The 24518-nt window shown below is 37.8% G+C and overlaps 1 protein-coding gene across 18 annotated transcripts in view; it reads right to left on the bottom strand.

Moving 5' to 3' along the window:
- NFAT5 (nuclear factor of activated T cells 5) overlaps positions 1-24518 on the bottom strand; it is a 138689-nt gene that overhangs the window by 34844 nt on the left and 79327 nt on the right. For 5 of the 18 annotated variants that reach the window (XR_007064848.1, NM_138713.4, NM_001113178.3 and 2 more), the window contains 4 exons: positions 22225-22783; positions 16383-16575; positions 14012-14202; positions 9912-10084 (listed from right to left, as the gene is read on the bottom strand). Coding sequence is in view for 17 of the 18 variants with exons in the window: in NM_138713.4 (NP_619727.2) it covers positions 9912-10084; positions 14012-14202; positions 16383-16575; positions 22225-22783 (1116 nt within the window). In the remaining variant the exon portion in view is untranslated. Of the gene's footprint in view, positions 1-9911; positions 10085-14011; positions 14203-16382; positions 16576-22224; positions 23295-24518 lie in introns of all 18 variants that reach the window. The other 13 variants (NM_138714.4, NM_173214.3, NM_173215.3 and 10 more) reach the window with 4 other exon arrangements.

Here is a 24518-nt window from a genome sequence, read left to right as displayed (position 1 = left end):
TGACAGGCTTGGTCATGTGACTGGTTTGGATAATCAAATATGAACTGAAGTAATGTGCCAAGTCCAAGTGAAAGTTTTGAGAGCCATCACATGGTTTTACCAACTCAGTTGTTGTAAGCCACTGAGTTTTGTTTTGTTGTCTTCTTTTAAATTGTGTGTTATTGCAGTATCATTTAGCCTTCAGCTATTGATACAAACAAGTATCCTGTCTTTGTTAAATACAGGTTGAGCATCCCTAATCCAAAAATCTAAAATCTTTTTTTTTTGAGACTGAGTCTCACTCTGTCGCCCAGGCTAGAATGCAGAGGTGTGATCTCAGCTCACCGCAACCTCTGCCTCCTGGGCTCAAGTGATTCTCCTGCCTCAGCCTCCTCAGTAGCTGAGATTACAGATGCACACTACCACGCCCAGCTAATTTTTGTATTTTTAGTAGAGACGGGGTTTCACCATGTTGGTCAGGCTGGTCTCGAACCTTGTGATCCACCCACCTTGGCCTCCCAAAATGCTGGGATTCAGGCATGAGCCACCATGCCCAGCCAAAAATCTAAAATCTTAAATGCTCCAAAATCCAAAACTTTTTGAGTGCCAATACAATGCTCAAAAATTTACACACCTGGGCTGGGTGCAGTGGTTCACACCTGTAATCCCAGCACTTTGGGAGGCTAAGGTTGAAGGATCACTTGAGCCCAGGAGTTCAAGACCAGCCTGGGCAATAGTGAGACCTTGTCTCTACAAAAAAATCAAAAAAATTAGCTGGGCGTGGTAGTATGCACATGCAATTCCCAGCTACTTAGGAGGCTGGAGTGGGAGGATCACTTAAACCCCAGAGGTTGAGGCTGCAGTGAGTCATGACTGCACCGGTGTTAAGTACTTACGTGTGAAGAAATATAAGAAAAGGATTGCTTATTGGTAGCATATAAATTCAGAGTCGGGTGAAACCCTGTTTCTACTAAAAATACAAAAAATTAGCTGGGCGTGGTGGTGGGTGCTTGTAATCCCAGCTACTTGGGAGGCTGAGGCAGGAGAATCTCTTGAACCTGGGAGGTGGAGGTTGCTGTGAGCCAAGATCGTGCCACTGCACTCCAGCCTGGGTGACACAGCAAGACTTCGTCTCAAAAAAAAATAAAAATAAAAATAAATTCAGAGTCAGGAATGATGGTGATGCCCAACAGGTTATTTACAAAGATTATTTACAAAGGTGGCTGAAACAGTGACACCTTTGCTTTTTGAAACTCTGATGCACAAAATTATTTAAAATATTATGTAAAATTACCTTCAAGCTATGTGTATAGCTGTACATGAAACACAAATGAATTCTGTGTTTACACTTGGGTACCATTCCCATGAAACCTCATTATGTATATGCAAAGAAATTCAAAGTCCAAAGAAATTCAAAACCTGAAACACTTCGGGTCCTAAGCATTTAAGATAAGAGATATTTAACCTGTTTGTATATGATAAATGACATTTTCAACAATGCTGGGGAGTTTAATAGAAATTGTTAATGTATAAACAAATACACTGGCCGGGTGAGGTGGCTCACGCCTGTAATCCCAATACTTTGGGAGACCGAGAGGGGCAGATCACCTGAGGTCAGGAGTTCGAGGAGGTCAGGAGTTCAAGTTGGTCAGCCTGGCCAACATGGTGAAACCCCATCTTTACTAAAAATACAAAAAATTAGCTGGGTGTGCTGGCACATGCTTGTAATCCCAGCTACTCGGGAGGCTGAGGCAGGAGAATCGGTTGAACCCAGGAGGCAGAGGTTGCAGTGACCCGAGATCACGCCACTGCACCCCAGCCTGGTAAACAAAAGTGAAACCTTGTCTAAAAAAAGAAACAAACAAAAAACAAAAAAACAAAAAATAAGTATTGTCTAGAACCTATAGGGTAAATGTGTGAACAGAATGGAAAGGGTTATTGGTCATACACTGACAATGATATACCCTTTTAAATGAAGAATTAACTAAATCAGTTTATTCAAAGGTAACTTTTTGGAGTAACAGGAAATAGATACTTGTTTTTAAAAACATTCCAGAAACATATGGTATATCTTGTTAAAATTACATTAATATATTGTATTACCAAAATGAAACGTAAAGCATATAACCTTTCCCTCCATTTTCAAATACTGTGTGGAAATTCCACTTCACTGATTACTGATAAAACTTTTTCCCATATCTCATTTTTTAAATTTATTTGTTAAAGGCATAAGACAGCCAAATGAGGCCCCAAGGTTTAGAATATATTTATCTTCTACATATTCGTATTTACATTACAGAAAGAACTAGTCGGTTACTTTCTTTTTTTTTTTTTTTTAGTTTCTGCAAAAATGACCTGCTTTATTCACAAGTTATACAGTACAAGTCAGAAAAGAAGTATATTGAATCTTGACATTATACAATTATGCAAAAGAGATCCCACATATTATACAGTTTTGTTACTTAAAATTTACTATTCTTGTAAAGTTTTTTTTTTAAATGTATTATTATTATACTTTTAAGTTTTAGGGTACATGTGCACAATGTGCAGGTTAGTTACATATGTATACATGTGCCATGCTGGTGTGCTGCACCCACTAACTCGTCATCTAGCATTAGGTATATCTCCCAGTGCTATCCCTCCCCCCTCCCCCCACCCCACAACCGTCCCCAGAGTGTGATGTTCCCCTTCCTGTGTCCATGTGTTCTCATTGTTCAATTCCCACCTATGAGTGAGAATATGCAGTGTTTGGTTTTTTGTTCTTGCGATAGTTTACTGAGAGTGATGATTTCCAGTTTCATCCATGTCCCTACAAAGGACATGAACTCATCATTTTTTATGGCTGCATAGTATTCCATGGTGTATATGTGCCACATTTTCTTAATCCAGTCTATCATTGTTGGACATCTGGGTTGGTTCCAAGTCTTTGCTATTGTGAATAGTGCTGCAATAAACATATGTGTGCATGTATCTTTATAGCAGCATGATTTATAGTCCTTTGGGTATATACCCAGTAATGGGATGGCTGGGTCAAATGGTATTTCTAGTTCTAGATCCCTGAGGAATCGCCACACTGACTTCCACAATGGTTGAACTAGTTTACAGTCCCACCAACAGTGTAAAAGTGTTCCTATTTCTCCACATCCTCTCCAGCACCTGCTGTTTCCTGACTTTTTAATGATTGCCATTCTAACTGGTGTGAGATGGTATCTCATTGTGGTTTTGATTTGTATTTCTCTGATGGCCAGTGATGGTGAGCATTTTTTCATGTGTTTTTTTTCCTGCATAAATGTCTTCTTTTGAGAAGTGTCTGTTCATGTCCTTCGCCCACTTGTTGATGGGGTTGTTTGTTTTTTTCTTGTAAATCTGTTTGAGTTCATTGTAGATTCTGGATATTAGCCCTTTGTCAGATGAGTAGGTTGCGAAAATTTTCTCCCATTTTGTAGGTTGCCTGTTCACTCTGATGGTAGTTTCTTTTGCTGTGCAGAAGCTCTTCCGTTTAATTAGATCCCATTTGTCAATTTTGGCTTTGGTTGCCATTGCTTTTGGTGTTTTAGACATGAAGTCCTTGCCCATGCCTATGTCCTGAATGGTAATGCCTAGGTTTTCTTCTAGGGTTTTTATGGTTTTAGGTCTAACGTTTAAGTCTTTAATCCATCTTGAATTGATTTTTGTATAAGGTGTAAGGAAGGGATCCAGTTTCAGCTTTCTACATATGGCTAGCCAGTTTTCCCAGCACCATTTATTAAATAGGGAATCCTTTCCCCATTGCTTGTTTTTCTCAGGTTTGTCAAAGATCAGATAGTTGTAGATATGCGGCATTATTTCTGAGGGCTCTGTTCTGTTCCATTGATCTATATCTCTGTTTTGGTACCAGTACCATGCTGTTTTGGTTACTGTAGCCTTGTAGTATAGTTTGAAGTCAGGTAGTGTGATGCCTCCAGCTTTGTTCTTTTGGCTTAGGATTGACTTGGCGATGCAGGCTCTTTTTTGGTTCCATATGAACTTTAAAGTAGTTTTTTCCAATTCTGTGAAGAAAGTCATTGGTAGCTTGATGGGGATGGCATTGAATCTGTAAATTACCTTGGGCAGTATGGCCATTTTCACGATATTGATTCTTCCTACCCATGAGCATGGAATGTTCTTCCATTTGTTTGTATCCTCTTTTATTTCATTGAGCAGTGGCTTGTAGTTCTCCTTGAAGAGGTCCTTCACATCCCTTGTAAGTTGGATTCCTAGGTATTTTATTCTCTTTGAAGCAATTGTGAATGGGAGTTCACTCATGATTTGGCTCTCTGTTTGTCTGTTGTTGGTGTATAAGAATGCTTGTGATTTTTGTACATTGATTTTGTATCCTGAGACTTTGCTGAAGTTGCTTATCAGCTTAAGGAGATTTTGGGCTGAGACAATGGGGTTTTCTAGATATACAATCATGTCGTCTGCAAACAGGGACAATTTGACTTCCTCTTTTCCTAATTGAATACCCTTTATTTCCTTCTCCTGCCTAATTGCCCTGGCCAGAACTTCCAACACTATGTTGAATAGGAGTGGTGAGAGAGGGCATCCCTGTCTTGTGCCAGTTTTCAAAGGGAATGCTTCCAGTTTTTGCCCATTCAGTATGATATTGGCTGTGGGTTTGTCATAGATTCAAGATAATTTAACTTCTGGCCTTTTAAAAGGTCCTTTCTTTAAAGTTTACGAGATGAGTCCCCAACAGACGCCATACTAAACACAACTAAAGTCAAGATTACTTAAGCATTAACTGTTTTATTTTTAAGTTATTTACTTATTTATCTATTTATTTGAGACGGAGTTTTGTTCTTGTTGCCCAGGCTGGAGTGCAGTGGCGCAGTCTTGGCTAACCGCAACCTCCACCTCCCAGGTTCAAGCAATTCTCTTGCCTCATCCTCCCGAGTAGCTGGGATTACAGGTATGCACCACCAAGCCCGGCTAACTTTGTATTTTTAGCAGAGATGGGTTTTCTCCATGTTGCTCAGGCTGGTCTCAATCTCCTGACCTCAGGTAATGGGCCCACCTTGGCCTCCCAAAGTGCTGGGATTACAGGCGTGAGCCACTGCGCCCGACCAAGTTATTTATAAGCTGACTCTTGAAAGGAATAATGCTTAAAAATTACTTGAAAGGAATAATGCTTAAAAATTAGAACACACAAAAAATCACCTTTTTGGTATTGTAAAAACTGTGTGCTTTTAGATGCTTTTCAACTAGCAGTCTGAAAAATAAAGTTGAGGCCGGGTGCGGTGGCTCACACCTGTAATCCCAGCACCCTGAGAGGCCGAGGCAGGCGGATCACGAGGTCAGGAGATTGAGACCATCCTGGCTAACACGGTGAAACCCCGTCTCTACTAAAAAATACCAAAAATTAGCCAGGCGTGGTAATGGGCACCTGTAGTCCCAGCTACTCGGGAGGCTGAGGCAGGAGAATGGTGTGAACCCCGGAGGTGGAGCTTGCAGTGAGCCGGGATCGCCACTGCACTCCAGCCTGGGTGACAGAGTGAGACTCCGTCTCAAAAAATAAATAAATAAATAAAGTTGAAAAAAATAATGAATATCTGAATACTGAAAAATAAGTAAGCAAATATTTCAACCTGTCAAGAGAATAAAGCTTTGTAATAATGTCTAGTAGAACAACATAGTTAACAGAATATTTTAGAGTATAAAGCCTACATCTGACTATGTAAATTACTAATCCTATCCAAAATTTTAAGAGAGGGATAGTTTGCTTAACAATACCATCCTTTCCCCATAGCTGTGGGATAGGTAGAAATAGGGGAAGTAGAAAATTCTTAAATTCAGAGTCATATTTAATTGAGTAACCATAAGATAAAATCTAATATATATTACATGTAAGAAAGCCATGATTAATTTTGTCCTATTAAAAACTACTACAGAAGGGTAGATATGAAAATTTTTTCTTTTTTCTTTTTTAAGGACAGATCAATAAGACCTCACTCTGTTGCCCAGGCTGGAGTGCAGTGGTGCCACCATAGCTCACTGTATCCTTGAACTCTTGGGCTCAAATAATCCTCCCATCATAGTCTCTCAAGTAGCTGGGTCTACAGGGACATGCCACCACGCCCAGCTAACTTAAAACATTTTTTTTGTGTGTGGAGATGGACTCTTGCTATGTTGTCCAGGCTGGTTTCCAACTCCTGGCTTCAAGCAATCTTCCTACCTCGCCCTCCCAAAGTGCTGGTATTACAGGCGTGTACAACTGCACCTGGCCTTTTTTTTTTTTTTTTTTTTTTTAAAGAGATGGGTTTGAATCCCAGGCTGGATTCAAACTCCTGGGCTCAAGTGATTCTCCTTCCTCAGCCTCCCAAGTAGCTGGGACTACAGGTGCGTGCCACTGCACCTAGCTGAAAATTAATATTCTTAATTTGATATAACATAACAAAATAATATAAACATACATACCAAAACAAAAAACATATACACCTATATTGTCTGGAGAACATGAAAGATGTTAAGAATGTAAAAAGGGATGATCTTCTATCCCCTTAAAAACAAAAAGACAAAGGATCCAATGGCCATTGTTAAACCAATAATTAGAAGTAATTTTTTTAAAGCCACAAGGCACTGCATGAATCCTGATATTAGAAATTCTTTCCACTGAGTATCTATAGAAGGAAGATCAAGTATCTGTTTCCTCTTCTCCCTTCCAACTCTGTCACCTTTTGGCCCCTTTCCTTTTCTACCTCTCTCTCTTCCTGTTTCCTTCTATCTCCCATTCCAATCCCAACTCTTTGCACTAACCAATTTCCTTTTTACCTCTCATTTTACTGCAACTGCTTAAAGCTGCCAAAAAGTTTATATTCACGGAAAGAAATACAAGCCAGAAACTTATAATGGAACAAACATTTTAATTTTTTTAAATAAAAAGATTTTTTGGGTCCTGTGTTTTACTGTAGATCATTTTTATGTTTATTCTTCTTTTCCTCCCATATCCAGCCCTCAAAGTCGCAAGTTCAAGCATCAAGCTTCCTAAGTGGTCAGGATAAAATTCAAATTATTTTGCTGAATACACAAGTCTCTTTATGAAAGAGGTGTTGTCGGCCGGGCGCAGTGGCTCACGCCTGTAACCCCAGCACTTTGGGAGGCCGAGGCAGGCAGATCACGAGCTCAGGAGATCGAGACCATCCTGGCTAACACGGTGAAACCCCGTCTCTACTAAAAAATACAAAAAATTAGCCGGGCGTGGTGGCGGGTGCCTGTAGTCCCAGCTACTCGGGAGGCTGAGGCAGGAGAATGGCGGGAACCCGGGAGGTGGAGCTTGCAGTGAGCAGAGATCATGATGCCACTGCACTTCAGCCTGGGCAACAGAGCGAGACTCCGTCTCAAAAAAAAAAAAAAAAAAAAAAAAGAAAGAGGTGTTGTCTACCTCTGTAACCTCAAATCTTACCACTTCATAATGTATATCTTTTTATTCCAATCACATAAAACTCTTTTTATTTCCCCCAAAAGAATCATATCCTTCCAGGGAGCATATTTATACATGAATCCCTCTGCCCAGAATTACTACAGAAGGGTAGATATGAAAATTTTTCAAGTAAATCCCATTTTACTTGTTTTACTTCTATTTGTGTTTTAAGACAAGACAGAACAAGTTCTACCATCTCTGAGCAGTCTGAATTAGATGCTCTTACTATGTTTCCACTGTACTTTATTCACACAGCTACTGTGCAGTATAGTATCTTTATATAACTTTATAATACAATTGGAAGCTTATATAATTTTTATATGCAATTAAAAAAATAGAGACAGGGTCTTGCTTTGTTGCCCAAGCTAATCTGAAACTCCTGGGCTCAAGCAATCCCCCTGCCTTGGCCTCCCAAAGTGCTCCGATTATAGGTGTGAGCTCCCACGCCTGGCCTATATACAATTTTATATACACATATATGGAAGTTAATATAATTTTACTATAAAATTAGACATTTACTTGCCTGTTTTTTCCCCAGCCTGCTAAACTGTAAGCTCCTTAAACTATAATCTTTAATTTCAGAGTTAGGCACACTGTAACTATCCATTGAATTAACTATGAAGTTTTCCAAAAACAAATCATCAATTGGCATGCCTTTTTGTTTGTTTTAAAGCACTACAGGTGACTCGAACCTACACCCAGGATTGAGAACAACTGCATTTAATTTATGTTGACTAAATGAGTGACTGAATGAGCAATGAGGCATATTTTGTTATCAGAACACAATAAAAATTAAAAACAAAAAGCACTCATCTGAACAATTTCCTTTTTTTTTTTTTTTTTTTTTTTTTTTTAAGAGACTGGGTCTCTTATACAGGCTGGAGTGCAGTGGTGTGATCATAGCTCACTGCTATCTCAAAACTCCTGGGCTCAAGTGATCCTTCTGCCTCAGCCTCCTGAGTAGCTGGGACTACAGGCACATGCCACCATGCCTGGCTTTTTTTTTTTTTTTTAATTTTTGTAAAGACAGGTTCTCTCATTATGTTGTTCAATACACTTCCATTATAAGTTTCTGGCTTATGTTAGTTTCCATGAATACAAACTTTTTGGCAGGTTTAAACAGCTGGAGTAAAATGAGAGGTGAAAACAAAGTTGGTTAGTAAGAAGAGCTGGGATTGGAATGGGAGACAGAAGGAAACAGGAAGAGAGACCAGCCTCGGCTGGTCTCAAACTCCTGTCCTCCTGCCTTGGCCTCTCAAAGTGCTGGTATTACAGGCATGAGCCACAATCTAACAAAAAAAAAAAAAAAAAGGGTGGTGGGGGGTGCTGGGAGGAGTGGGCAGATCATTTGAGGTCAGGAGTTCAAGACCAGCCTGGCCAACAGGGTGAAACCCCACCTCTACTAAAAATACAAAAATTAGCCAGGTGCTAGTGGCACACACCTGTAATCCCAGCTACTCGGGAGGCTGAGGCAGGAGAATCGCTTGAGCCTGGGAGGTGGAGGTTGCTGTAAGCAGAGATCACACCATTGCACTCCAGCCTGGGCAACAAGCGAAACTCCATCTCAAAAAAGAAAAAAAAAAGAGAGAGAGAGACGTGAAAAGGAAAATTTTTCCTATTTATTACCTATAACAATAATCATTAGAGAGAAACTACAATTATGGTGAGACATATATAACAACATAATTGAATTTACACACACAAACACGCACACATCATTTTCTATCCATGTCAAGGTTAGTGATAAGAATTGAATTTCCCACTCCCAACACTATACTATAATATTATAATTAATAATTGAAACTTCTGACATGTTGTTATTTGCAAAGTTCTGCTTACCTTACTCATGTTCTAACACAAAACAGTTAGAACCACAGTAATTTACCACACAGTGAAGATGCTTAGAAAATGCTTTCGCTTTGTAATTTACTTCTGATAACCAGCTCAAATTACTTTCTTTTTTTTTGAGACAGTCGCAGTCTGCTGCCCAGGCTGGCGTGCAGTGGCACGCTCAAGGCTCACTGCAGCCTTGACCTCCTAGGGCTCAAGTGATCCTCTTGCCTCACCTTCCTGAGTAGCTGAAACTACAGGCACAAGCCATCACACCCAACTTATTATATATATTTTTTTATTTTGTAGAGACAGGATTTTCACTACATTGCCCAGGCTGGTCTTAAACTCCTGGGCTGAAGTGATCCTCCCACCTTGGCCTCCCAAAGTGCTGGGAGCCACCCTGTCTGGTCCAAATTACTTTTTAAATCAGCATATTATGATAATAGGAAACTACAAAATGTTCCACATCTTTTGAATTGTATCCCAAGTATTCACCTCTAGTTTGGTCTAGAAAATCTGACTACTGCTTTTAAAATATTTCAAATTTTGCATGATCACAAGCCGGAGCATATGAAATATCTAAAATTTAGAGATGTCTAAAAGATTAACAGAAAATGAAAGAAACTCCATATGTTTAGTATCTCCGTATCTTCTTACTTACTACACAAAATTGGAGAAGAGGGTGTTTGCAGTGTCAAAGTGGAGCCATCTTTCCTCATGATATTAACTCGAAAAACCAATCTGGCACGAGTGCTTTTCTTCTTGGAACCAGCAATTCCTATTCTGGCTTCGACATCAGCATTCCTCAATTTCAATATCCCTACGCAGTCCACCCTAATACAGAAAAAAAATATATAAAGGGACATTTTGTTGTATAAATAGTATAATGTTCTTAATCAACAAGTTTGTTTTTAAAATTTTGCTTATCTATTAATTCTGTGAATATGTAATAAAGTTACAAAGTTCCAAGTTCAAAAAGTACAAAAGGGTAAATTCTAAACATTCACCACTGTTCCTAATCCTGTCAATCTTTTGTTTATAATAATAAAAAGTAAAAAAAATAAAATCACTATTTTAAAATCTGAACATAAATAATGGCTTATAAGAGATCTTTTTTTTTGAGATGGAGTCTCACTGTCACCCAGGCTGGAGTGCAGTGGCGTGATCTCGGCTCACTGCAACCTCTGTCTCCTGGGGTTCAAGGGATTCTCCTGCCTCAGCCTCCTGAGTAGCTGGGATTACAGGTGGCCGCCACCATGCCCAACTATTTTTTGTATTTTTAGTAAAGATGGGGTTACACCATGTTGGCCAGGCCGGTCTTGAACTCCTGTCCTCAAGTGATCCACCCACCCTGGCCTCCCAAAGTGCTGGGATTACAGGCATGAGCAACCATACCTGGCCAGAGACCTTTTTTTTAAAAAAAAAAAAAAAATAAAAAAATACATTTAGTCTCTTTCTTTACAGAGCTAATTCAGAAAACAGATAAAATGGATTTTACTTTTAAAAAATTAGTAGCTGCCTCCAGAAGGATAGAATAATAGCCACTAAAAAGTATGTTACCACATTGAATGATATGTGAAAAATGCTCATGATATGTTAAGTAAAAAGCAGATTACAAAACAGTGGGTACAGTATTTTCTCAATTTTGTCCAAAAAAGACTGGGAAGATACACATTAAAATAGCGGTTATTTCCAGGAAGTTGTTTTTTATTTATATTTTTATTTTATTTTTTTGAGACAGAGTCTCGCTCTGTCACCCAGGCCTGAGCGCAATGGCGCTACCTCAGCTCACTACAACCTCTCCCTCCTGGGTTCAGGTAATTCTCATGCCTCAGCCTCCTGAGTAGCTGGGATTACAGGCACGCACCACCACTCCAGCTCACTTTTGTATTTTTAGTACAGTCGGAGTCTTACTATGTTGCCTAGGTTGGTCTCGAACTCCTGGCTCAAGAGATCTGTCCACCTCAGCCTCCCAGTGTTGGGATTACAAGCCACTGTGCCAGGCCACAAGTTAGTTTTTAAAGGGCATGTTTTTAGCTTTTTTTACCCTGTGTTTTCAACTTTTTTTTTTTTTTTTGAGACAGAGTTTCGCTCTTGTTGCCCAGGCTGGAGCACAATGTTGCAATCTCAGCTCACTGCAGCCTCTGCCTCCAGGGTTCCAGAGATTCTCCTGCCTCAACCTCTCAAGTAGCTGGGACTACAGGCATGCACCACCACTCCTGGCTAATTTCTATATTTTTAGTAGAGATGGGGTTTCGCCATGTTGGCCAGGCTGGTCTCAAAGTCCTGGCCTCAGATGATCTGCATGCCTCAGCTTTCCAAAGCATTGGGATTACAGGCATGAGCCAGCACGCCTGGCCTGTTTTCAACTTTCTTATATTGAATAAGTACTATTTTTATAATCAGTAAATTCCTTCCTTTCCTCCTCTACTATATGTATTTATTTATTTATTTTACTTTATTTATTTTTTTTTTTTTGAGACAAGTCTCGCCCTGTCGCCCAGGCTGGAGTGCAGTGGAGCGATCTTGGCTCGCTGCAAGTCTGCCTCCCGGGTTCACGCCATTCTCCTGCCTCAGCCTCTGGAGTAGCTGGGACTACAGGCGCCCGCCACCACGCCTGGCTAATTTTTTGTATTTTTAGTAGAGACGGGGTTTCACCATGACAGCCAGGATGGTCTCGATCTCCTGACCTCGTGATCCGCCTGCCTCGGCCTCCCAAAGTGCTGGGATTACAGGCGTGAGCCACTGCGCCCGGCCTATATGTATTTATTTTTATAATTGTCTTTTTTTTTTTTTTTTTTTGAGATGGAGTCTTGCTCTGTTGCCCAGGCTGGAGTGCAGTGGCATGATCTCAGCTCACTGCAACCTCCACCTCCCGGCTTCAAGCAATTCTCTGCTTTGGCCTCCCAAGTAGCTTGGATTACAGGCGCCCACCACCACGCCTGGCTAATTTTTTGTATTTTTAGTAGAGACAGGGTTTCTCCATCTTGGCCAGGCTGGTCTTGAACTCCTGACTTAGTGATCCACCTGCCTCGGCCTCCCAAAGTGCTGGGATTACAGGTGTGAGCCACTGCGTGCCCAGCCCCTTTTTTAGTAATTTTCAAAAGTTACAAGTTAAAAAATATTTATGAGGCCAGGCACGGTGGCTCACGCCTGTAATCCCAGCACTTTGGGAGCCTGAGGTGGGCGGATCATTTGAGGTCAGGAGTTCAAGACCAGCTTGACCTACACAGTGAAACCCCGTCTCTACTAAAATACAAAAATTAGCCAGGTACGGTGGTGGGCGCCTGTAATCCAAGCTACTCGGGAGGCTGAGGGAGGAGAATCGCTTGAACCCAGGAGGTGGAGGTTGCAGTGAGCCGAGATCGTGCCACTCCACTGCAGCTTGGGCAACAAAGCAAGACTCCCTCTCCAAAAAAAAAAAATTTACAAAATATTTCTCAAAATGTCTTTTCCAACTAACCTTTTACCAATCTATTTAAAATGGCTTTCAAAAGAAAACTGAAAACCAAGTAAAGTCTTTAGCAACTATCCAATATACAAATAATTACAACATAGATCTACCCCATACCAATATATTTCCTGCTGTTACGGTTCAATTTTAGGATTAAAGGTCCTTTACAAAAGGCTTAAGGAAAAATAATTTTTAAAATTTAAATGCACAAGATGAAAAACACATAATCTAAATCTAAAGATATATATTTTTTAAACAGAGGAAAATAACAACAGACGGTGAATTTAAACCAGCAATATGTGTTTCACATCAAGATGGAATAAGGCACTTCATAGTCTCTGCTGAACAGTTTTTCGGCTGGGTGCAGCGGCTCATGCCTGTAATCCCAGCACTTTGGGAGGCCAAGGTGTGTGGATTACCTGAGGTCAGGAGTTGGAGACCAGCCTGGCCAAGATGGTGAAACCCCGACTCTACTAAAAATACAAAATTAGCCGGGTGTGGTGGCAGATGCCTGTAATCTCAGCTACTTGGGAGGCTGAGGCAGGGAGAATCACTTGAACCTGGGAGGCAGAGGTTGTAGTAAGCAGAGATAGCACCACTGCACTCCAGCCTGGGCGACAGACGGAGACTCTGTCTCAAAAAAAAAAAAAAAGTTTTTAAAGCAAACATTAAGAAAGTGGAATTCAGGAAAGCAAATCAAATTGAAGTTTTTATTTTCAATGTTACTATTATAAACCCAAAAAAGTAAGTCTTTGGCCAGCTTTCCACTTGGCTTTGATTTCCCTGCCTTTACCACGGGAATTCTTTTTTTTTTTTTTTTTTTTGTGAGACAGAGTCTCGCTTTGTTGCCCAGCTTGGAGGGCAGTGGCACAATCTCGGCTCACTGCAAACTCCGCCTCCTGGGTTCAAGTGATTCTCCTGCCTCAGCCTCCCAAGTAGCTGGGATTACAGGCACGTGCCACCACACCCAGCTAATTTTTGTACTTTCAGTAGAGACAGGGTTTCACCATGTTGGCCAGGCTGGTCTCTAACTCCTGACCTCAGGTGATCCACCAGCCTCAGACTCCAAAAGCACTGGGATTATAGGCATGAGCCACTGCGCCTGGCCCAACCATGGGAATTCTTTAGCAAATGGTAAAAGAGTTAATTTTAACCCATTACCATTCTGAAGTAATGTCTTTTTTTATTCATAATATTTAAAACATTTTAATAAAATACGCAAAAAATCTTCTATACATTAGAAACTGAACAATTCTGCCTAACACAAGAGTGTAATGTATAATGAAAAATTCTTACTAAGTACTTACGCCAGTGTCATGTTGTTGCTAGGATCAAGGCCGACTTCTATAACAGTAGTGCCTTCAATGTCCACTTCTTTGCAAGGAGTTGTATTTCGTCCAGTTACTCTGCAGGCCTGATAAAATCCATGTGGTTTCACTCGTCCAGAGTCGTTGCCCACAAACACTTGCAACACTACAGGTTCATTATGGCCTTCCAGCTGAAACCAGAAAACATGCAACAGAAACACTAATTAGTATTTCAAATAATCTAATTATAAAATCAAATATTTAAGACCAAATCCTATACTTGTAACTGAATTACATTTAAAAAAATTTAAATCTTCAAGAAAAATAGAGATAAAACATTTTCATAAAAGAGTTGGCTAAATTCCTGAAGTAAGTCATAGTTTTAATTCTGTAATAACTATACTTAAATTATAAATTTAGATGTTAGATGATAAATTATCATTTATAATTTATTTGTACAAGCAGATGAGAATGAATGCACAGTACTTCAGGCAGCATTTGGGTTGCTCAGGACCTACCACCATAACTAATGGGAAAACTCACAAAACTGTTAGTGGCATCATCATCATCATCAAATGAGAGCACATATACCAAATTTTTATTCTACTAAAGCTACTTGAATAGAAAAGTATGAGTGCAGCTATATGAATAAGAAGGAAATGAAGCTCATTTTCACGGACTAGATACATACATATAACATCATTAAATCCTGAGACAAAACATTATGGTCTGAGAGACTGCTAGTTCAAACGGGGATCTATGGATCATTACAGGTCTCTAGCAAGCCTTCATAAATTAAATTATAATTTGTATGCTGAAAAATAAATAAATATTTAAAACAGCATTTGGGAACAAATGTTTCCAATCCTGATTCTTGATGAGGCTTATAGTTAAACATTGAAGCTCCTAATATAGAATGCAGAAAATCACAAAGTAAATTGTACAATGCATGCCAAACAAAGTACTTAAAAAATTCACACATCTTTTCTATTCCAGTACAGCTACATCTCTATAAAATGGTATCATAATGAGGAAAATAAGCAAACTAGTCAAATTGCTGGTCAGCAGAATCTAGAACAGTGCCTGGCACATGGAGGAGTGTAGTATTTGTTGAATGAATGACTAAACAAACTTTTAAGGTCAATTCATTCCCTATCATAGTTAAGCAATTAATCTAACAATACTTCTAACTAGACAAAACATAACTTAAAGTCAGGGCAATTAGGTTAAACGTAATGACCAAACTACCAAAATATCTAGCTAGACAAATATTTACACAAAGCATAACATAGATTTCTCACTTGCCTGTTACCTGTCCTGGGATTGAAGGACTGGGTGTGGGTTAAGGTAGTATGTAGTGAAGAAGGGTAGACTTGATATTGTACACGTGACTATTAACAACCTTATAAATGGTGGCAGACACGTTTCCTGATTGATCCAGAGTTTCAATCATAATTTCATTCAAGTATAAAATGAAAGGCAGTCCACCTCTACTCCTAACTTAAAATACTGTTCAACTAACATATTTATACAAACTGTATTTAATAAGAATCTACCATATGACTAGCCAAAATTCCTCCCTATTTAGTATTTAGCAAGGGGTAGGGACACTTGTTAAGTCCTCTCCCCATTCCCCCATTTTTTTGAGGTTTGTCTTCAAAGACAAATATTCTTTATACCAAGATATCCTAGGTGCTAAAATTTAAGTCCCTTTTAACTTTTAGTCTCAACTGTAAAAAAAATTAAGACTCAATTGATACCTCATTTCTTTTTTTTTCCTCATTTCCTTCTTTCCTCCTGTACTTGAGTGGATGCAAATGATATCCCATTTCTTAAACCGTAAGCCTTAAGTATTAATCAAGTCTTTTCTCAGTCCAATAGTCTTGATTACTATAACCATCTCAAAAACCTTATTTTCAAAGTTCTTAATAATTTCTACTGTATTTCTCTGAATTCACTTTAATATTTCTTCCTCCAAGGCGGGAGGATCACTTGAGATCAGGAGTTCCAGACCAGTCTCGCCAACATGGTGAAACTGCGACACTACTAAAATACAAAAATTAGCTGGGCCTGGTGGCACACACCTGTAGTCCCAGCTACTCAGGTGGCTGAGGCATGATTACTTGCACCCCGGAGGCAGAGGCTGCAGTGAGCTGAGATCACACCACTGCACTCCAGCCTGGGTGACAGAGTGAGACTCTGTCTCAAAAAAAAAAAAAAAAAATTCTTTCTAAAGTTTGGGATGAATCTAATTCAAATATCAAATATGAGGGAAGAAAATTCATGATTTGAAAATATTTTACTTTTCAGGACATATTCTCATTCCCCTTTACATTTTAACTAAAATTCAAATGATAAATAAAGTAAATACCTTTACTGTAGGAAAGCCTTGCTGTGTTCTATCTTTCACTGAGCCACGGCTGCCCTCAGTCAGGTACCGAGCTCGGTGCTGTGTCTCAGGTTGTACAACTATCTTCAGCTCCTTTCCCTCACTTTTAACAGGATATTGTCCACACAACATAGGGCTCTTCTTTACTCCAGTTCCTTTTTGGTTTTCCAATGTTCTGAGAAATCAAAGCACAACATGGAGAAAGTATCAAAAAGAGTTTTTTGATAAAAAAAAAAAGCCATTAAGACAAAGGAAGAAACAGAACTGGCAATAATAGTAAAAACAACTATTCAGCTTGCTGGCAAAATAAAATATTGCCTAAAGGAAGATACATGAGCAAAGTATCTTTAAAAAGGTTTTGTAAAAAAGTTTACTATATGATGCAAAAATAAAACAAAGTATGTTTGACAGAAAAGAAAATGAACGTATGTGAGTGGTAGGAGGAAGGGAGGAAGATTGAGCGCAATAAACTGAGACTAACAGGAAAGAATAGCTAATGTCACTATAACCTTTAACATTGTACTTCAGTCAAAATAAGATTTAAAAATTCCATGTATGCATTCCACATATAAATTCCAAAATTTATATAAAGCTATAAGATTAACTACTGTTATTTTTTAACTGCACAGTAAAAGAAGTGAGGGTAGCGAAAACAAAAAACAAACCCCCAAAAACCCTACATACCCCCATACAAAATGGCCTACAAACCAAATGAAGGTATATGTAGCTTATTCTTTTGAGTATCCTTCTCAGTAAACCAAACTGAAGAAATTAGATAAAAAATTAGCGATTCAATTTTTATTGGGAAATTAGCTTTACTCTAAACAATCTTTTCTAGGAGTGTGATTTTTCAGATTATTTTTATCTGTGATTAGTTAAGTAATTAAAGCCCTCAATAAAAATTTTTACAATCTGGGCTTTACAGCACCAGCATTCTACCTTTTTTTTTTTTTTTTTCTGAGATGGAGTTTTACTCTGTCATCCAGGCTGGAGTGCAGTGGCACAATCTCAGCTCACTGTAACCTCTGTTTCCTGGGTTCAAGTGATTCTCCTGCCTCAGCCTCCCAAGTAGCTGGGATTACAGGCGTGTGCCACCAAGCCCAGCTAATTTTTATATTTTTGTTAGAGATGGGGTTTCACCATGTTGTCCAGGCTGGTCTCGAACTCCTGACCTCAGGTGATCCTCCCGCCTCAGTCTCCCAAAGTGCTGGGATTACAAGCATGAGCCACTGCACCTGGCCCTTATTTTTTTTAGTTATGCTTTTTAACATTTATTTATAATGCATTTGCTATGTGGAATGCATGTTCAAAGAAAAACAGTATCCCAAATGGTGGTTATGACTTCAGGCAAACACATTTAATCTGTAAAATAGTTGAAGCACTGCAAATACATAATAAAAACAAGTAAAAACAATATTGTTAGTTATCTTTCCTTTTGAGCAATGGTGTGGTGTCCCACACCTGTAATTCCAGCACTTTGGGAGGCCAAGCGGGGTGGATCACCTGAGGTCAGGAGTTTGAGACCATCCTGGCCAACATGGTGAAACCCCGTCTCTACTAAAACTACAAAAAATTAGCCAGGAGTGGTGGCAGGCACCTGTAATCCCATCTACTCGGGAGGCTGAGGCAGGAGAATCACTTGAACCCAGGAGGTGCAGGTTGCAGTGAGCCCAGATCGTGCCATTGCACTCCAGCCTGGTCAACAAGAGCAAAACTCCGTCTCAAAAAAAAAAAAAAAATTCACGTATGTTTTTAAATAAAGTCAGGGTCATAGCTTTCTCTGTGACCCTCCTAGTCCTAAGTTTTGACTCACATCAAAGATCCAGGAGCCAGATGACTGTGAAGAAAAATCTCCTCTAAAAGCAACCAGATTCCAGTAGGAATATTACGACTTCAAACACAGAGAAGCTAAGCAGGCTTAAACCTGGCTCTAATGTTTACCCCTCCAGCTGTAACCAAGTTGTTGCCTTAATCATCAAGAACAAAGTGAGGAAAGGCACTATCTTCAATGGAAATGGGGAGTAGGTTGAATCCTTGGCTAGGAAAGAGGCAAAAGAATGGAGCAAAGAAGGAATGAAACTAGCATAGGAATTCAGTAAGACTGATAGATGAGAGGAAAAGTTCTCAAGGCGCAATACTGTGCTTAATCATCTTTATATTCCCTGAACCTGGCACACTTCCTGAAACATAACAGGTGCTGAAGAAATGTTTGTTGATGAAGGCAAAGAAGAAGAAAGGGACAAAGAAAGGAAAGCAGAGGGATAAAGAAGCTTCTGTAATATTAAGATGAGAAAGATCCTAACTGGACAAGGAATGCCATTCGTGTAAATTTGACATAAGTAAATCAAAGATTACTTGTGCAAGTCATTTAAAAGGCCCTGGAAGAATAAATTCTATGAACATAAGTATCAAGTTGAAGCTGGAACAATGGGCAGTAAACCCTGTTTTTCTTTTCATCATTCTGGGTACAGATTCAAACATTTGGTCTAACTAGTGTGCAGTTCCTCACACATGAAAGTCTATGATATTCTGTTTTATACTAATCTTAAAGTAAAAATATTCATTTATTGAAACTATGTAGAAATATCCCCCAAATATACATACAAAGAGATGAAAGAAAATACTGCAAAATGATAATAGCAGATTTACTGAGTGACTAGATTATGAGGTTTTCTTGTATTTTTCAAATATTTGTAATTCATATGTATCAATTTTATAATAGAAAAGGGAAAATTTTAGTTTGAAATACAAGGAAAATTCATAGAGCATATCGATTAACTTGGCAAGACATGTTTTTATACTCACTTATGCTAGTCAAGCTAATATTTATAAGGGCAAATAAATGAAAGTGAGTTTTACTAGTCTAGCAAAACAAATGATCTCACTTGGGATGAAGTATTGAGTGAGTATACACATTATGGCTTAAAGAAGAATATCATGTAATTAAGCAATTTCTAAAATGGTACTTTAGAAGTTCTTAAAACTATCTTTTTTTTCTAAAATGTAAAAATGGAATACATACATATTGAGATGTATAGACATGTAAAACCATGAAAACATCCACTAATGCTTAGAAACGTAGTCAAGTTACTAATTTTTAAGGCATGATGGCTTAAGAAAAAATAAAGTAGCAGTCAGTTACATGGGATTTTACTTCTAAATGACAACCAAAAAGGAAAATCCACCATCATGGCATATTCTATTCAGAAGTCTTAAAATGACATTCTAATTTATTCGTGCCGCATAATCCTTCTGGTGACCTATGTCAAAAAAATAATTTTCATTACAAAAAGCCTAAAGTAGGTTTCACATCCAGATGACATCCTATCTTAACTTATAGAAATATCTAGAAGAGACATGGGGCAACTGATTCTCAGGACATTTAGTTGAGAAATTTAAGAATGATATGGCTAGGAATATTCAAATACTAAGCTTTTTTTTTTAATGGTTTTATTCTCTTATTAGACTCTAACATCTTAGTCATATAAAAATGCTATTTTCATCTACAAGCTATCAGATTTCTATGTGGTATCTTGAAGATCAATAAACTGCTGTATACATTTTAAAGTACATTTTCTAAATACTTAGTATGATATAAATTGTAGATTTATGGCACATTAGATCTAAGGCTATATCCTTATCTCTCAAAACATTTTAAGATTTTTTTCACTGTTGAAGAATACAGGCTTTTAGCTTGACATGCTCTGAAAAATTATTTTTAAGGCCGATTTTTCTATATATTTAGGTATGGTTTCATCCTTTCCTCAATATAGTTGTTATAAATTCCAATTTTAAAATTCTTCCATCATTTCCATATACTAGTTTCAAATATTTTTTTCATTACCTAAGAAGCTGGACATTTCTTCTGCTTGATGGAATTTCTGCTCCATGAATTATTTCATGAAAGAGTCTGTCTTGACCAATGTCATTATACTTTCCCTGGGTAACCTCAAATCATTTCTAAGATATAGCTATCATACAAAAGTAGAAGCAGAAAAATGAAGGTCAAGATATTTAATTAGCAACTGCAAATCACTGTTTACTAGCCATAAGTAAAAATTCTATTTGCTCTAAATTTGAACCTTCAACATTCATTTTGATATAAAAATGAAAATTTATCTTCTGGAACTTTATATTAAAGACTTTCTCCACTAAAGCACAAATAAACACACATATGTAATTAAATGATATTCATGAGACTTTTAGATCTGTGTTACTATCACAGTTACTTAAGTATTTACCTGCTGTATTCATTACATTTCAGAGCCTTATTTTATAAGTAATAGTTCTACAAATATTATGTTCTGAAATTCTTGATTTTATTAAATGGCAACATTTTAGGAAAGAGTATATCTTATTTTCTTTTAGGTAATTTACTAAACTGGACTTTCTAAAACTGAAAAGCATTTAAATATTCATTTTCATTTAACTACATCACCCTTAAGGAGGTAAAGAAGCGGTGTAGAGTAATTATTGCTTAAAGGGTAGATATTACTTTTTAAAATGTACTGAGGGAGTGCTTAAGGGCAAGTTAAATATATATTAAGAATATTCTCTATAATATTCAACTGAATTTTTAACCAAAAAAAGATCAGTGATGTCATCAAGTAGTAAATCAATCTAAAGCTTCTTGACCACTTTTTGTGTAAAACTGAAATTGTAGGAGATCCTGGGTCCTAGAGAGTTAAATTTTAACAAATTATTTTGAATGTACTATACAAAAATCTAATTTAAAAGTCTAGCAATTAAATATTACAATAAAATTACTAAAGGAATTAAAAGTCATACTAGTCTGCATTATAGCAGTGAATATTCTGTAACATAGCTATTGAACTATATTAGTGGGTAGTGTGACTGGCAGAGATGAAAGAAAACTCAAACATGTACCATGATCCTGTTTCATCACCCTCTAAATAAGTAACCCAGAATCACAGAAAAAAAATGAGTGATTTAAAAAAAATATCGACTCTGTACAATCAATGTATTAGTATCAAAGGAAAAAAGCTTATGATACATGAATCTAAATGATGAGAATCAAACTCTCAATTTAGTTTTTTCTTGTTTTCATCAATTAAAGAGAAAAAAATTAAGTCTAAAATCCTCTAAAAAATGTAAACCATATGAGGACACAATTGGAAAGAGAACATAGCTCTTAGTGACTGTTTGAGTTGTTTTGGATGGAGTCATTACATTGCTAGTTCTTTCGGTTTTTTTTTTGGTGTTTTTTTTTTTTTGAGATGGAGTTTCGCTCTTGTCGCCCAGGCTGGAGTACAGTGGCGTGATGTCGGCTCACTGCAACCTCTGCCTCCTGGGTTCAAGCGATTCCCCTGCCTCAGTTCTCCCAAGTAGCTGGGATTACAGGCACATGCCACAATGCCCGGCTAATTTTTTTTGTATTTTTAGTAGAGATGGGGTTTCACCATGTTGGTCAGGCTGGTCTCGAACTCCTGACCTCAGGTGATCCGCCCGCCTCGGCCTCCCAAAGTGCTGGGATTACAGGTGTGAGCCACCGCACCTGGCTGAGTAAAAGTCCTTTTAAAATATAAATTCATTTGAAATTTATTTCAGAACAGATTATTTTCATTTTCTACTACCTAACTATACTGATAATAAGATATCTATTGCTAGAATCTATGATTATTTTATTTTCTATCTAGTAAAAGTTGGTAATTTTAAGTTAAAATTTTCATGTATTTCAATGATAAAATTAGCACTGTTGCTTTATATGCAAACTTGAGCTCAGCAATTAGGAAAAATTGGGAATTTTTTTTGTTTGTTTGTTTTGCATAATGATGATAGAATTTTAAAAAATGTGAATACCAACCCATTTCCCGCTTTTGAGTTGCCTTTGTTGTCCGTGGTAAGCTGAGAAAGCACATAGTGAGGTGCTTTGGCACTGTCGGCATCAAATATATCCATATTAGATTCTTCACAATCTCGTCGTTTGACCCCCGGCCTCTGCTTTGGATTTCGTTTTCGTGATTTACGAGGTACCTCAGTGTTATCATTGTAGGAACTGGTGCTCATGTTACTGAAGTTGGAGGGGGAATCCTCCATCCACATACTGCAGCTCTGCTCAGATTCCAATCCACACCCCTCATCCTGGCAGGACATCCGACTGTTATCCAGCAAGTCCTCAGGTGGTGGTGAGATGTACAAGACTGTGTGCCTCTTCGGTGTTGATGGATGCTGCTGAACTGTGTTACTGGTTAACTGCTTTTCACTTACCCCTCTGTTACTTACCCCCACGGCTGAGGAGCAGCTCTCCACTTGCATAGCCTTGCTGTCGGTGACTGAGGTAGAATAAATGGTAGGGCTGGAAGAGGTGGTAAAGGAGCTGCAAGCACCGCCCATGGAGGAAGAGGAGGGAGCTGAAGAAGCATCTGCAGTGTACAATTCAAGAGTAAATACACTATACATGTTTTCACCTATGCTGGCTAGCAGTCCCATTGAAAATGTGATTTGTGAACTGATTGTTTTTCCCCAAAATGAATAGTCAGAATTTGGTTATGTTTTAGAATATAAATGCTTCAAGCAATATAAGGCCTAAGAAATGGAATTTTTAAAAATGCCCAAATAGCATTATTTTACTTATGTTACAATCCATAGATTTTTAAAATCTCATTTAACGTTTTAAGCTGTAAAGCAAAAATAAAGCTTTTATTGCCTCAGCTGGACATTCTATTGAATTTTAATCATTTAAAGTAATAAAGAAAACCCCAATATGAAATATATGCTGGTGGTCCACATTCAATGCCAATTAAATAATTCATTATAGAATTTGAAAAGTGGGACTGTGCTTAGCCACAAAATATTAAAATAAGTTTCTAACCTATGAAGCAGAGAACTACAGGTCATTTTTAATGCAGACACTCCCTGCTTCAGAGGCAAATCCTGGAATAAAAATATGAGAAAATAAATGAGAAAAGAGCTGCTGATTATTCCAGATATCAATTATAAAATGAGAAATAAATAGAAAAAATATATAATCAACTGAATTGGAGGCAAAATGGAACTGGTATTGTCACTATGATTTGTTGTAAAATCTAGGAGAATCAAGATGAAAAAGGTATGATTTGGAACATTCTGGGTTGTAGAAGCAAGTTAATCATTGGGTCTCCAGAAGCTGGAAGTGGTAGTTCAAAACCATAAGCTCTAAAATAAATCCATCCTTTATGACATAATGAAAAGCAAAGGAAGAACTGATTAATGGATGGATTTCTCTTAATAAAGTACTTGATTACATGCTTGACAATTGGTTAGAGCTGTCCATTTTCTCTTTTTAAAGGACCTGGTTGATTGTGACTAGTAAGGGAATTTTCCAATGTAAGAACAATGGTAAATTTTACTGGCTGAAATCTAACAGAAAATAGTTAAGCATAAAAATCTCTGGAGAGCATCAGAATTAATATTTTTTATAAAACTATTTATCTGTTATGCCTAGCAAGAAAGATTTAAGTAGATCTTTTCAGCATGTGTGGCAACTGGCAGAATAGCGCACTGAAAATACTATTACTTTAGCCCTTAACAGCATAAACTCAGAGGCGCGTTGATCGCTAAGGTTGGAAGTTGTCATGACTAACATTTTAGATATCATTTTATCTTGTTCACAATATGGAAAGGTTGTCATTACATACACACACAAAAATAAAAATAGGTAATGTGACAAAGATATATTTCAATCTAAAATTAATTTGTATCTATGACCAAGTATGCCACTGTTTTAAAGTGTATGATAAAACTGTATGTGCAGTTATTGGAATTGCAACATACACATCAATTATAATATAAAGAGCAAAATGTAAGAATGTCAATGTTTACATAATTAAAAGCCAAGTGCCAAAGATCTGTTTTTTTCAATTGAAAACATGTATTTAAAATACACCTAAATTATTTGAATGAACTATATCCACCCAGAATTCTTCATTACTGTCAAGGCTAAAAAGCACAGTAATTAATATTAGTCATCAAGAATATGATCTATATAATGCCACATGGAAAGATTTTTCCCAACTACCATAAGTGAAGGAGTCTAAAGAAATTAGATGATACCAGTTCCATTTTCCAGTATGTATCCTTCTCAAATGCAGTAGCTGAAATTGGAAAATTCAGTCACTT

The sequence above is a fragment of the Homo sapiens genome, chromosome 16 (genome assembly GCF_000001405.40).
Source record: "Homo sapiens chromosome 16, GRCh38.p14 Primary Assembly".
NCBI classification, from domain to species: domain Eukaryota; kingdom Metazoa; phylum Chordata; class Mammalia; order Primates; family Hominidae; genus Homo; species Homo sapiens.
Note: the sequence above shows the minus strand (reverse complement) of the source record. Positions and strands in the feature narration are given on the sequence as shown.